This window comes from Homo sapiens, chromosome 19 (assembly GCF_000001405.40).
Source record: "Homo sapiens chromosome 19, GRCh38.p14 Primary Assembly".
Lineage (NCBI taxonomy): Eukaryota > Metazoa > Chordata > Mammalia > Primates > Hominidae > Homo > Homo sapiens.
Window position 1 is genome coordinate 51,141,646 of NC_000019.10, and position 12,990 is coordinate 51,154,635.

At 49.7% G+C, this 12,990-nt stretch overlaps 1 protein-coding gene and 1 long non-coding RNA gene across 8 annotated transcripts in view; one reads left to right on the forward strand and one right to left on the reverse strand.

Moving 5' to 3' along the window:
* The first annotated feature begins 655 nt into the window (after nucleotides 1-655).
* On the forward strand, nucleotides 656-11,881 carry SIGLEC7 (sialic acid binding Ig like lectin 7). Of its 7 annotated transcripts, NM_014385.4 has the most exons (7): nucleotides 656-1,157; nucleotides 2,761-3,039; nucleotides 3,267-3,314; nucleotides 4,210-4,476; nucleotides 5,109-5,205; nucleotides 5,576-5,672; nucleotides 11,418-11,881. In NM_014385.4, exons 1-7 carry the CDS (start codon nucleotides 725-727, stop codon nucleotides 11,598-11,600), a joined length of 1,404 nt encoding a protein of 467 aa, NP_055200.1. In that variant the 5' UTR covers nucleotides 656-724; the 3' UTR covers nucleotides 11,601-11,881. The 7 variants fall into 7 exon arrangements, 6 of the variants coding, with proteins under 6 accessions (NP_055200.1, NP_057627.2, XP_011525023.1 ...); NM_016543.4 differs by lacking the exon at nucleotides 2,761-3,039; XM_011526721.4 differs by lacking the exons at nucleotides 2,761-3,039; nucleotides 3,267-3,314.
* LOC101928517 (uncharacterized) overlaps nucleotides 11,278-12,990 on the reverse strand; it is a 29,044-nt gene continuing 27,331 nt past the window's right edge. Inside the window, exons 4-5 of the long non-coding RNA NR_110732.1 lie at nucleotides 12,599-12,653; nucleotides 11,278-12,311 (exon numbers count right to left, since the gene is read on the reverse strand). This is a non-coding gene — a long non-coding RNA (uncharacterized LOC101928517). The remainder of the gene's footprint in view (nucleotides 12,312-12,598; nucleotides 12,654-12,990) is intronic.

Below are 12,990 nucleotides of genomic sequence, written 5' to 3' on the forward strand. Positions count from 1 at the left end.
TGGCGTGTATCAACAGGCGCAATCCTCACCTTCACAGCCCCATGTCCGTCTGCTCGGTCCTCCTGAGACTGAACCCCCGACCTAGGGGAGAGTGACCCCACCCTGCCTGTGCCCCCCACTGAAGCTCCTGTCATGGGGAGCTCAAACGTCAGGAGACTCAGTGTCTCCCCACCACACAGTGACTCCTTGGGGACAGTGTCCGGCTCTGCTGTGTTGACCTCATTGTGCAGAAAGGGGGTGCCCACCTCGTGGCTGCTGAGGGAGGGATGAGAGGCTGCCTGTTCACCCCACCTGCACCCCTGTCTCTCATGGCCCCGAGTCCCACTTCTGAGCTACGCAGACATCCACAGCCTGTGACTCAGGGGTCTGGGCAGATGGGAGTTATTTTCACCCTGCAGAAAATATCACCTAAAGGGAAAGGCATTGAGAGGGAGGCAGGAGGTGGGGTGGGCCCTGCATGGGGTGGGAATCTGGGTGAGTCTGTCTCCCGCTCTGGCCTCAGGGACCCAGGAGTGAATGTCGGGTGGTGGACGGTGGATCTCCCAGGGCTGACCCAGCCCTGACAGTGTCTGTGTGTGAAGTTCTTCTTCTAAGGAGGTCACTGTTTTGACCTCACCACCGACTTCCTGTAGGGCCTCTTCTAAGTCTTGAGCCCGCAGTTCCTGAGAGAAGAACCCTGAGGAACAGACGTTCCCTCGCGGCCCTGGCACCTCCAACCCCAGATATGCTGCTGCTGCTGCTGCTGCCCCTGCTCTGGGGGAGGGAGAGGGTGGAAGGACAGAAGAGTAACCGGAAGGATTACTCGCTGACGATGCAGAGTTCCGTGACCGTGCAAGAGGGCATGTGTGTCCATGTGCGCTGCTCCTTCTCCTACCCAGTGGACAGCCAGACTGACTCTGACCCAGTTCATGGCTACTGGTTCCGGGCAGGGAATGATATAAGCTGGAAGGCTCCAGTGGCCACAAACAACCCAGCTTGGGCAGTGCAGGAGGAAACTCGGGACCGATTCCACCTCCTTGGGGACCCACAGACCAAAAATTGCACCCTGAGCATCAGAGATGCCAGAATGAGTGATGCGGGGAGATACTTCTTTCGTATGGAGAAAGGAAATATAAAATGGAATTATAAATATGACCAGCTCTCTGTGAACGTGACAGGTAAGGCACGGGCTCCAAGAGAGGCCAAAGGCAAATGTGATGAGGGCTTTAGGGCACGGCTGAGACGGGACACATGTCCTGGGAGGGGGCCGGGGGTGATGGACTCAGGAGAGGAGCTGGACCAGAGCCTGAGCTTCCCCAGGACCGCACCTTGGATGCCCCTCCTGATCCTGCAGGCCCCTCCCCTCACCAGCCCTGACCCACAGGCCTGACATCCTCATCCTGCCTCTGACGCTGGCATTGTGGCATGTGGGGCCTTATGACTCCTTGTTTTGGGGCCTGTCCTAGGCATGGCCGGGGTTTAGCACCATCCCAGGCCTCTCCCCACCAGATGCCAGAAGCACCCACTCCACCCATGCAGTGAGACAATAACAATTATCTCCACACATTGTTAAACGTCCTGGGGGGTTAAGTCCTCCCCAGTTGAGAGCCTTAGGTCTACACAACCCCGTGACTCTCTCAGGCCAGGCCAGGGAGGAAGCACTTCCTGGCGCAAACCAAGGGCAGCAGAGGCACCTGAGCCTGGACAGGGAGACTCAGCACACGGCCCCTCCATCTCTCATGCCCTGAGGTCCTCGGAGATCCACATTTAGATGCTCAAAAGACAGGAGGGACCTCCACGATGGTCCAGAGGCCGGGAGGGCAGGACCTACGTGTCTGGTGCAGGCCCTGGTGCTCCAGGGAAGCCCGGAGGTAGGAGGTGGGACACGGTCTCTTCTCCTCCCTGGGTGGGTCTCTAGGGTCTCTGAGCTTCAGGGTTTCCTTCACTCTGTGCAGAGGGAACCAGTTCCTATAGCATGTGGGTTTGTAGTTTCTCTTTCGTGCTGGGTTGAGGTCTCCAGCTCCTCTCCAGCCCCTCTCCAGCCCCCTGTGGGTCCCACAGCCCTGCCCCTCCTCTCCCTCCCACTTCTCTGCTCACACAAGGAGCCCAGGAACCCTCTGTCTCAGAGATGCTGCTGCCTCTCTTGTGGGCAAATGAAGAGAGGGACAGTCGGGGCTGGGCTGAGCCTCATTTCCCCACAGCGTCCCAGGCCCCACTGTCAAGATACAGGCTGGAGGTGCTGGAGTTGGTGATGGTGCAGGAGGGCTAGTGCGTCTCTGTGCCCTGCAGTGTCCTTTAACCCTATTACAACTGAACTGACTCTAGCCCTGTCCATGGATGCTGGTTTAAGAAAGGGATCAATATACAATGGAATAATCCAGTGGCCACAAACATCCCAAATGGAAAAGTGCAGGAGACACGGGGCCGATTCCACCTCCTTGGGGACCTGAAGACCAACAACTGCTCCCTGAGCATCAGAGATGCCAGGAAGGGGGATTTGAGGAACTACTACTTCCAGGTGGAGAGAGGACAGATAAGATGGAATTACAAAACGAAGCAGCTCTCTGTGAATGTGACAGATAAGGCACAGGCTCCAGGAGACACCACAGGGAAAGGTCATGGGGGTGGCAGCGAAAGCCTGGGATGGGGCCCCTGCCCTGGGAGAGGGCTGAGGGTGAAGCGAGTTGGGCTCAGGGCAGAAGCTGAACCAGAGCCTGAGCTTCCCCCAGGGCTGTACCATGGATCCTCTGTCCTGATCCTGAGTCCCCCTCTCTTCACCAGCCTTGACCCACAGGCCCAACATCCTTATCCCCGGTACCCTGGAGTCTGGCTGCTTCCAGAATCTGACCTGCTCTGTGCCCTGGGCCTGTGAGCAGGGGACGCCCCCTATGATCTCCTGGATGGGGACCTCTGTGTCCCCCCTGCACCCCTCCACCACCCGCTCCTCAGTGCTCACCCTCATCCCACAGCCCCAGCACCACGGCACCAGCCTCACCTGTCAGGTGACCTTGCCTGGGGCCGGCGTGACCACGAACAGGACCATCCAACTCAATGTGTCCTGTGAGTGCTGAGCCAGGACGCCCTGGTCCCTGATGAGGGGGGGACGTCCCTGAGGGCAGAGGATGGGGTCAGGGCTCGACACTGGGTGCTGGGTCCCAGAATCTGGGCTGGTTGTGGGATCAGGAGGACGCTGGCTCCGCCTTCCCCATTTATGCAGCTCCTGGGGAGACAGGGCCAGTGTCCCCAGCCCTCACAGTGATGCAGGTCTCCATGTCTTTCTGTCCCAGACCCTCCTCAGAACTTGACTGTGACTGTCTTCCAAGGAGAAGGCACAGGTAGGATGGAGCCCCCTCCCTGGGGCTGGGGGAGCAGGGCCTTCAGCTCAGGGCAGGGCCAGGTCCCTCCTCATCCTGGACTCACCCTGGTGATATGAGACTCCCTTGTAGTTGAACCCAGGCCTCCTCCCCATCCTTAGCCTCTGTGGCCACCTGAGCACCTGTCCTCTTCCCCCCACTCCCCTCAGACTCTTGCACACACACCCTCCTCAGCCCTGCAGCCAGGACAGGGGGAAATACATATAGCAGGAGCAGCCTTTGGGCCTCTTATCTTCCATCTCCTGAATATGCCACCTAACTCGTCTTTTTATTTTACCCAATAGTTTTGAGCTACGTTCTTTTGGATACATGCTATAATCACGTGGGCAAAAATTTTAAATTCACAGTAAAATGTGTCCCCAGAATCAACCAGGGTCTGTCCAGGCTGTCCTGAGCCTTGGTTTGTGCACCTGGAAGATCTCAGAGGTGGTTTGATGTCAGCAGTGAGACTGTTTGCACCCTCTTCTAGGGATGTGTGTGATTCCACTGTCTGAATAGTCTCTGATTTTGTGGCATCTCCTAATGGAAGATCATGGCACTAATTTTATCCTACGGCACGAACACTGCAATGAATAATGTTGTATCTACTCCCACAAGGAATATCTAAGTGTATAGGATAAATTCCTAAAAGCACATTTTACCAGTGTCATATGTTCTTTCTGATTTTGAAAGATATGGTGAAGTTGTCCTCAAATAAAGGTGGGCAAGTTTACATTCCCAACAGTGAGCGGTGAACATAAGTATGTCCCTGCACCAGCCTACATCACTCTCTGTTCCATTCCCCAGTCTCATTCTGTATCCTTCCTCCCTGTTTCAATCACTTTGTCTCTTTGAACCTCCAACTTTTTCTCTACAGCATCCACAGCTCTGGGGAACAGCTCATCTCTTTCAGTCCTAGAGGGCCAGTCTCTGCGCTTGGTCTGTGCTGTTGACAGCAATCCCCCTGCCAGGCTGAGCTGGACCTGGAGGAGTCTGACCCTGTACCCCTCACAGCCCTCAAACCCTCTGGTACTGGAGCTGCAAGTGCACCTGGGGGATGAAGGGGAATTCACCTGTCGAGCTCAGAACTCTCTGGGTTCCCAGCACGTTTCCCTGAACCTCTCCCTGCAACAGGAGTACACAGGTGGGTAAGGGAGGGGCTGGAGGAGGAGAACACACCTGCCCCACCCTCATGGGCCACCCACTGCCCCTGAGCTTCAAGGGGGAGCTCAGCTCTGGTCTGTGCTCAGCTGTGAGGCCTGGAACTTCCCTGCAACCCAGGGCACTGCTGTCCTCTTCCTGCCAGGAAAGGTGTGTAAGGCAGGAAGAGGGGAGGAGTGGGTCTTGGAGGGGAGGAGCTGGGGCCTGGACAGGTGTGTTTGGGGAGACACGTGCCTTGCTTTCCAGTGCCTGGACTAGGGTGACACAAGCAAGGCACTCACTTCTGGGCACACGACTAAAAAACAAAAAATAAAACAACTCAGCAAGCAAGTGAAATAATATTGGATGTGATTATCTTTATTAAAAACTAAAAATTATTGCAAAATAATTTGACAGTGAATACAAATCAAAATTTCAAATACAGGCAGGCTGTGCTTACCACTCTCATGCCTCAGTGACCTCAGGAGTTGTCCCTTCCTCCTCCCTCCCATTCTTGCCCTTTGTTTCTGGGAAGGGGGATTAGGGTACCCAAGTTGGGGGCCTTATAGGAAGTGGGAGGAGAAGAGACCCAGTTCTTGGAGTTGGATCACCAAAACAATTCCAATCCATCCTCAGGCAAAATGAGGCCTGTATCAGGAGTGTTGCTGGGGGCGGTCGGGGGAGCTGGAGCCACAGCCCTGGTCTTCCTCTCCTTCTGTGTCATCTTCATTGTGTGAGCACTGACCCTAGGGAGGGAGGGAGAGTCCTGGGGGAGGGCGGACTGGGAGCAGGATCCCTGAAGCCAGAGCTGGAAGGGACTGCATGGGTCAAGAGCTTGGGGCAAGAATGAGCTCACGGGTGCGTGGCAAGAATTTCAAGAGCGCCCTTGTCTGTGGGGCTCCACATCTGTGGTGAACCTTGGGCCCCACCACCCAGGAGGCAGGAGCCTCTGTTTTCAACACTGGGGTCTCTGGGACTGGACCACCCTCCTCCCACCTCAGTTACCCCTCCAGCGCCCCAACAGGAAATACAGGGCAGGGGTTGGTCTGCCCACTGCACCCCGATCTGACCACACTGAAAGGCTCTCTGGTCTCTTCACTCAGAGTGAGGTCCTGCAGGAAGAAATCGGCAAGGCCAGCAGCGGACGTGGGAGACATAGGCATGAAGGATGCAAACACCATCAGGGGCTCAGCCTCTCAGGTGAGTGATATGGGCGTCTCCACACCCAGCATCCAGCTGGGACATCTCCCACAGGATGGCCTCCAGGATTTCTCTGCTTATCATGGCCAAAATTATCTCCTCATCTCCTCCTCCTTCCCACCATCCAGCTTCTCCTGCAGGATTCCCCATCTTGCTGACTGCATGACAGTCCCTCCTACCTACTTTCTCTCGGGCCAGGCATGGAGGAGGAGTTATCTCCTCTCTGTCCTCCCTTTCTTCTCTATAGCTCCACATTCACCAAATCTTGTCCATTTTTCCTCCCTAAGAATGGCTAGCATTGCTCCCACCCCCACCAATCCTAAACTCTCTCAATGCTGAGGCCTGAGGATCTCTGTCTTGGACTTCCTCACCTCCCTGCCTCTTGTGTCCCCTGCCCTGATGGGAGGAATCATTCAGAAGCCATCACTGATCAGTTTCTTTGCATCTGGACAGCTGTTCCCACCCCCAACACTGTCTAGAGCAGAAGCCAGAAAATACTATCTGGAAAGGCCAGATAGGAAATATTTTTGGCTTTCTGGCCTACACAGTCTCATTGCAGCTCCTCAACTCTACTGATGTAGCAGGAAATCAGCCGTAGACCATGTGTAAATGATTAGCTGGCTGTGTGCCAGTAAAACTTTATTTATAAAAACAAGCTGTGGGTAGAATTTGTCCCAAGGGCTCTAGTTTGACAAGCCCTAACCTAGAGAAAAAGCCCAAACTTCATAACTGCAGCCCTGCACATTCTCGTCTCTTAAACATCTACCTCTCTAGCAGGGCTGGAATTAGTGTGAGATGAGTGAGGTCCTGGCCTAGCATGCAAAATTTAAGAAGGTGCCAAAAATCTCAGTAATTGTGATAGTTTTAAAAAAAACTCTTATTTTAGGTTTGGGGGTACATGTGCAGGTTTGTTACATACATAAACTCTGGTCAGAGGGGTTTGTGGTACAGATTATTTTGTCACCCAGGTCCTAAGCCTAGTACCCCACAGTTATTTTTTTCTGTTCCTCTCTCTCCTCCCACCCTCCACCTTCAAGTGGGCCCCAGTGTCTGTTGTTCTCTTCTTTGTGTTCATGAGTTCTCATCATTTAGCTCTCACTGATAAGTGAGAACATGCAGTATTTGGTTTTCTGTTCCTGTGTTCGTTTGCTAAGGATAATGGCCTCCAGCTCCATCCATGTTCCCACAAAAGACATAATCTCATTCTTTTTTATGGCTGCACAGTATTCCATGGTGTATTTGTACCATATTTTCTTTATCCATTCTGTCATGGATGGGCATTTAGGTTAATTTCATATATTTGCTATTGTGAATAGTACTACAATGAACATTTGCTTGTATGTGTCTTTATGGTAGAATGATTTTTATTACTCTGAGTATAAAACCAGTAATGTGATTGCTATGTCAAATGATAGTTCTGCTTTTAGCTCTTCAGGAAATTACCATACTGCTTTCCACAGTGGTTGAACTAATTTACACTCCTGCCGACAGTATAAGTGTTCCCTTTTCTCTGCAGCCTTGCCAGCCTCTGTGATTTTTTTTACTTTTTAAAAGTAGCCATTCTGACTGGTGTGAGATGATATTTCATTGTGGTTCTGATTTGCGTTTCTCTAGTGATCAGCGATAATGAGCTTTTTCTCATATGTCTGTTGGCCAAAAATGTCTGTTCATGTCCTTTGCTCACTTTTTAATGGGGTTGTTTTTCTCTTGTAAATTTGTTTAAGTTCCTTATAGATGCTGGATATTAGACCTTTGCCTAATGCATAGTTTGCAAGTATTTTCTCCCATTCCGGTTGTTTACTCTGTTGATGGTTTATTTTGCTGTGCAGGAGCTCTTAAGTTTAATTAGATCCCATTTGTCAATTTTTGCTTTTGTTGTGATTGCTTTGGCATCTTTGTCAGGAAATCTTTGCCTGTTTATCCAGAACGATATTGCCTACATTGTCTTCCAGAGTTTTTATAGTTTTGAGTTTTACATTTAAGTTTTTAACCCATCTCGAGTTGATTTTTATATGTGGTATAAGGAAGCAGTCCCACTCAATCTTCTGCATGTGGCTAGACAGTTATCCCAGCACCATTTATTGAATCAGGAGTCCTTTCCCCATTGCTTTTTTTTGTCAGCTTTGTTGAAGATCAAATTGTTGTAGGTGTGTGGCTTTATTTCTGGGCTCTCTATTCCGTTCCATTGGTCTATGTGTCTGTTTTTGTACCACTACCATGCTGTTTTGGTTACTGTAGACTTGTAATATAGTTTAAATTTGGGTAACGTGATGCCTCCAGGTTTTCTTTTTGCTTAGGATTGCCTTGGCTATTTGGGCACTTTTTTGGTTTCATATGAATTTTAAAATTGTTTTTTCTAGTTCTGTGAAGAATCTCATTGGTAGTTTGATAGAAATAGCATTGAATGTATAAATTTCTTTGGGCAGTATGGCCATTTTAATGATTTTGATTCTTTTTATCCATGAGCATAGTATGTTTTTCCATTTGTGTCACCTTTGATTTATTTGAGCAGTGTTTTGTAATTCTCATTGTAGAGTTCTTTCACCTCCCTGGTTAGCTGTATTTCTAAAAATTTTATTCTTTTTGTGGCAATTGTGAATGGGATTGTGTTCCTAATGTGACTCTTGGCTTGGTAGTTCCTGATGTATAGAAATACTAGTGATTTTTCTATATTGATTTTGTATCCTGAAACTTTGCTGAAGTTATTTATCATTTAAGAAGCTTTTGGGCTGGGACTACGAGGTTTTCTAGATATAGAATCATGCATCTGCAAAGAGGGATAGTTTAAATTCCTCTCTTCCTATTTGGATGCTCTTTATTTCTTTCTCTTGCCTGATTGCTCTGGCCAGAATTTCCAATACTACGTTAAACAGGAGTGGTGAGAGAGGGCATCCTTGTCTTGTGCTGGCTTTCAAGGGGAATGCTTTCAGCTTTTCCATATTCAATATGATGTTGGCTCTGCGTTCACCATAGATAGCTCTTATTATTTTGAGATATGTTCCTTTAATACCTAGTTTACTGAGAGTTTTTAACACGAAGCGATGCTGAATTTTATCAAAAGCCTTTTCTGCATCTATTGAGATAATCATGTGTTTTTGTCTTTAGTTCTGTTTGTGTGGTGAATCACATTTATTGATTTGTGTATGTTGAACCAACATGAAGCCGACTTGATCATATTGGATTAACCTTCTGATGTGCTGATGGATTCAGTTTGCAAGTATTTTGTTGAGGATTTTTGCATCAATGTTCATCAAGGATATTGGCCCGAAGTTTTCTTCTTTTGTTGTGTCTTCGCCAGATTTTGGTATCAGGATGATACTGGCCTCATAGAATGAGTTAGGGAAGAGTCAGTCTTCCTCCGTATTTGGGAATAGTTTCAGTAGGAACAGAAGGAGGCTCAGATCTGACATTTATTGTGTGATTGAAGAGCCTTCCAGGCAGAGGGAGGAGCAAAGCAAGGCCCAGGCACAGGAAGAGGAAAGGAGAGGAGCCATGGGACATCTGTGTGATTAGACAGAGGGAGGCAGGACTGAGAGCAGGAAATGACTTTGGAGGAGTTGAGCCTATGTGAATTGTGTCTGACTGCACAGGCTACTGTGAGCATTTGGAGAGTTTTGAGCAGAAGGACATGATCAGACGAGATTGGGTCCGTTCAGGGTGGTATAGCTGTAGACCAGAAGAACATGATCAACTTTCATTTTCATGGGATTCCTCTGGCCACTGTGTGCAGAAGAGACCGTGTGTGTGGCAGGGGAAGGAGAGAGCATAGGAGGTAGACAGGAGGCTGGTGAACATCCCAGGCAGAAGGTGGTGTTGGCTGGAACCAAGATAGCAGCAGTGGTAGACATGACTGTCTCCCAGATGAATTCTGCAGTGGAACCTACTGGGATTTGTTAATGAATTGGAATTAGAATGTGAGCCACAGAAAGGGAGCAAGAATTACTTCCAGATTTTTGCCCTGAGCAGTGGGAAGAATGGAGGTGCCAATCATTGAGGCTGAGAAGATTGCAGAAGAAATGGATTTGGGAAAGAAAAGGAGGAGTTCAGATTGAATAGGTTGAGTTTTGTGTGTCTTTGGACAAGAACGCGGGGGTTTGAATTATACCACTGGATCAAAGACTATAGTCAGGAGAAAGGAGTGGGCTGGGGGTACAGATTTGGGAGTCATTAGCCTATTGATGGCATGAAGCCAACACAGTGGATAAGATCACAAGGCAAAGGTAAAGAAGAAAAGAACCCGGGGCTGCTCTGATATTTAAGGTCAGGGAGACCTGAAGCAATTGGCAAAGAGGTTGCCAAGAAGGTGAGGTGGACCCAGAAAAGCATGATGTCCTATAGTTGAGTCAAGAAGGCCTTCTGTGTAGGGAAGGTGAGCAGCTGGGTCCTCTGCTGCTGAAAAGTCCAGGAAGGAGAAGACTGCAAGGTGGACATTTAGACTCAGCCACTTAAGTGGTAGTCACAGTGACCTTGATAGTAGCAGTGCTTAGACTTGGTATGTGTGTGAATATTAATTTGAGTAATCAAGAGAGAATCTGGCAAGCAAAATCACTGACAGTTCCATGGAGCATCTTCTGCACAGGGGAGCAGCAGGGAAGGGCTGCGATGAAGGAGGACCCTCCCAGGCAGCCTCTGTCACTCTCTGCTGTGTGAGTCTGTATTAGTTTCCTGTGGCTGCTGTGACAAATTACCATGCATTTCCTGGCTTCCAACAACACACATGGATTAAAGTTCTGAAGGTCACAACCCCAAAATGGGTGTCACTGGGCCAAAATCAAGGCATTGGCAGGCAGGGCTGGTTCCTTCTGGAGGCTCCAGGGGAGGATGCAATTTCTCACCCTTTCTGGCTTCTAGAGGCACCTGCATTCCTTGGCTCAAGTCCCTTCCTCTGTTTGCAAGGCAAGTAGCCTGGCATCTTCCAATCTCTCTAAGCCCTCCTCCTTTCACTTGTAAGGACTCCTGTCATTCCACTGGGCCCACCCAAATAATCCAGGATAACCTCCCCATGTCAATATCCTTAACCTAGCTCCATCTGTAAAGTCCCTTTAGCAATGTAACGTAACAGATTCACAGGTTTCAGGGGATTAGGGTATGGACATTTTGGGGAGCAGTTATACTTCTTATCAGAGGATATAATTTCTTTGACTGAGTTGTCCTCCCCATACCACCGAACTGTGAGCTTCCTAAGAGCAGGTGCCCCATCCAAATCAAGGCCCTGTAATTCTCTCTCACTTAGCCTCTTCCTGCCCATCTTATAATTCACACATAGATATTCGTTTGTTTGACAGTCATTTTTGCCAAATTCCCTCAATTAAAAAGTGAGTTTCAGGAGGTCAGGGCCAACACCTACTGTGTCCACCACAGTCCATCCAGCACCCGGATCAGGGCTTCACACACAGAGGGCCCCAGCAGGACTCCAGGCTTTGGGGTCAGAAGGAAGGGACTGGATTGGGTCCCGGCATAACAGGGAGTTTGGGTACGCTACTTTCTTCATGGAGTTGTTGCGGGAAGTTAATAAGATTAATAAACACCAAACAAGTTGCTCAATAAGTGTTAAATATTGCAGGAAAGTATAAATGAAGGAGATTTCTATAAAATGAACGTGGGATAGAGGCAGGAACTCATGAAGTTTAATTCTATACAGAGGAATATATCCGAACCAACCAACCGATCAAACAACTTGTGACTCTCCCTGCCTTATCCTATTTCCACTGCTCTGCTCTGACTCTCTTCTCTCTCTCCATTCAGGGTAACCTGACTGAGTCCTGGGCAGATGATAACCCCCGACACCATGGCCTGGCTGCCCACTCCTCAGGGGAGGAAAGAGAGATCCAGTATGCACCCCTCAGCTTTCATAAGGGGGAGCCTCAGGACCTATCAGGACAAGAAGCCACCAACAATGAGTACTCAGAGATCAAGATCCCCAAGTAAGAAAATGCAGAGGCTCGGGCTTGTTTGAGGGTTCACGACCCCTCCAGCAAAGGAGTCTGAGGCTGATTCCAGTAGAATTAGCAGCCCTCAATGCTGTGCAACAAGACATCAGAACTTATTCCTCTTGTCTAACTGAAAATGCATGCCTGATGACCAAACTCTCCCTTTCCCCATCCAATCGGTCCACACTCCCCGCCCTGGCCTCTGGTACCCACCATTCTCCTCTGTACTTCTCTAAGGATGACTACTTTAGATTCCGAATATAGTGAGATTGTAACGTGTTTGTCTCTCTGTGCCTGGCTTATTTCACTCAACATAACATCCTCTAAGTTCATCTGTGTTGTTTCCAATGACAGAGTAATGTACTGAATAATTCAAAATAGCTAAAAGAGAGGAGTTTAAATGTTGTCACCAAAAAAAAAAAAAAAAGATAAAAATTTGAGCTGATGGATGTGCTAATCATGCTGACTTGATCGTTCCATGGTGCATCGAGGTGCGGGAGCCTCACGGGGGCTGCGTTCAGGTCGCTCAGGTACTCAGGGCAGGACTGGAATTTAATCCCTGCCTGATTCTGAGGTCTCTTCTCTCACCCGGCACCCAGCACTGAGTGAAGCAACCACTGACTGGGCACCCCTTAGCCATAAGTTTGCAGCATCTCCGTTGACTCCATGGCCTCTGGTGAAGGAATCCGAGAACCTGGACACACAGGAGCTGAGAAAGGAGGCGCCTGAAATTACAGCCCAGCTCTGCGCATGGCCTGCCCCAGCCTGCATAGCTCTGATCAGCAGATAGAGCTTCCAATGGCCATGCTGCCCATGATTTCATCCCCAGGGCCCTGGTTGGGTCTGCAGACCTCCGCCAGGAGCCCCCATCTCCGGACCTTGGTGTGACTGGGCTGGGTCCCTCTCTTGCTGGTCCCCTCCAGAGGGACCCTGGACCCTTTCCAGCCTCACAGGCCCTATGGAGACCCCAGCCCTTCTCCATCACCTTCTCCTCACCTGCTTGCCCCTCTGGTCTTGTCCTCGGGTCTGAGGACATGCAGCCTGATTTGCCCTATGGGGAGAAATCAGGGAAGAAGTCACATCTCAGGTCCATAAGAAACACGGGAGAGTCCTGGGTAGAGAGGTGAAGGGGCCCAACTTCCTGCCAAGTCCAAGCCCAAGCCCTCCCCATGTGGGACCCTAGGAGGTAGAGGAGATGGTCTGCGGTCTTCACCTCTCCACTGAGAGTCCTCAACATCCTCATACTTTTAAAGATTTCCAAGGGCACAGGAGGCAGACGCCATTGTGTGGGGGAAAGAGGCCGGGTGAAGCTGAGGAAGGAGTTGACACTGTTGGCGCAATTACCAGGGGTAAGTAACAACAATGATGGAGTTAATAATAATAATTTA

Coding starts and splice junctions, on each gene's coding strand:
- SIGLEC7 (NM_014385.4), top strand. CDS start 725: ATGCTGCTGCTGCTGCTGCTGCCCCTGCTCTGGGGGAGGGAGAGGGTG. Junction 3,040..3,266: donor CATCCAACTCAATGTGTCCT/GTGAGTGCTGAG, acceptor TTTCTGTCCCAG/ACCCTCCTCAGAACTTGACT. Junction 5,673..11,417: donor TCAGGGGCTCAGCCTCTCAG/GTGAGTGATATG, acceptor CTCTCCATTCAG/GGTAACCTGACTGAGTCCTG.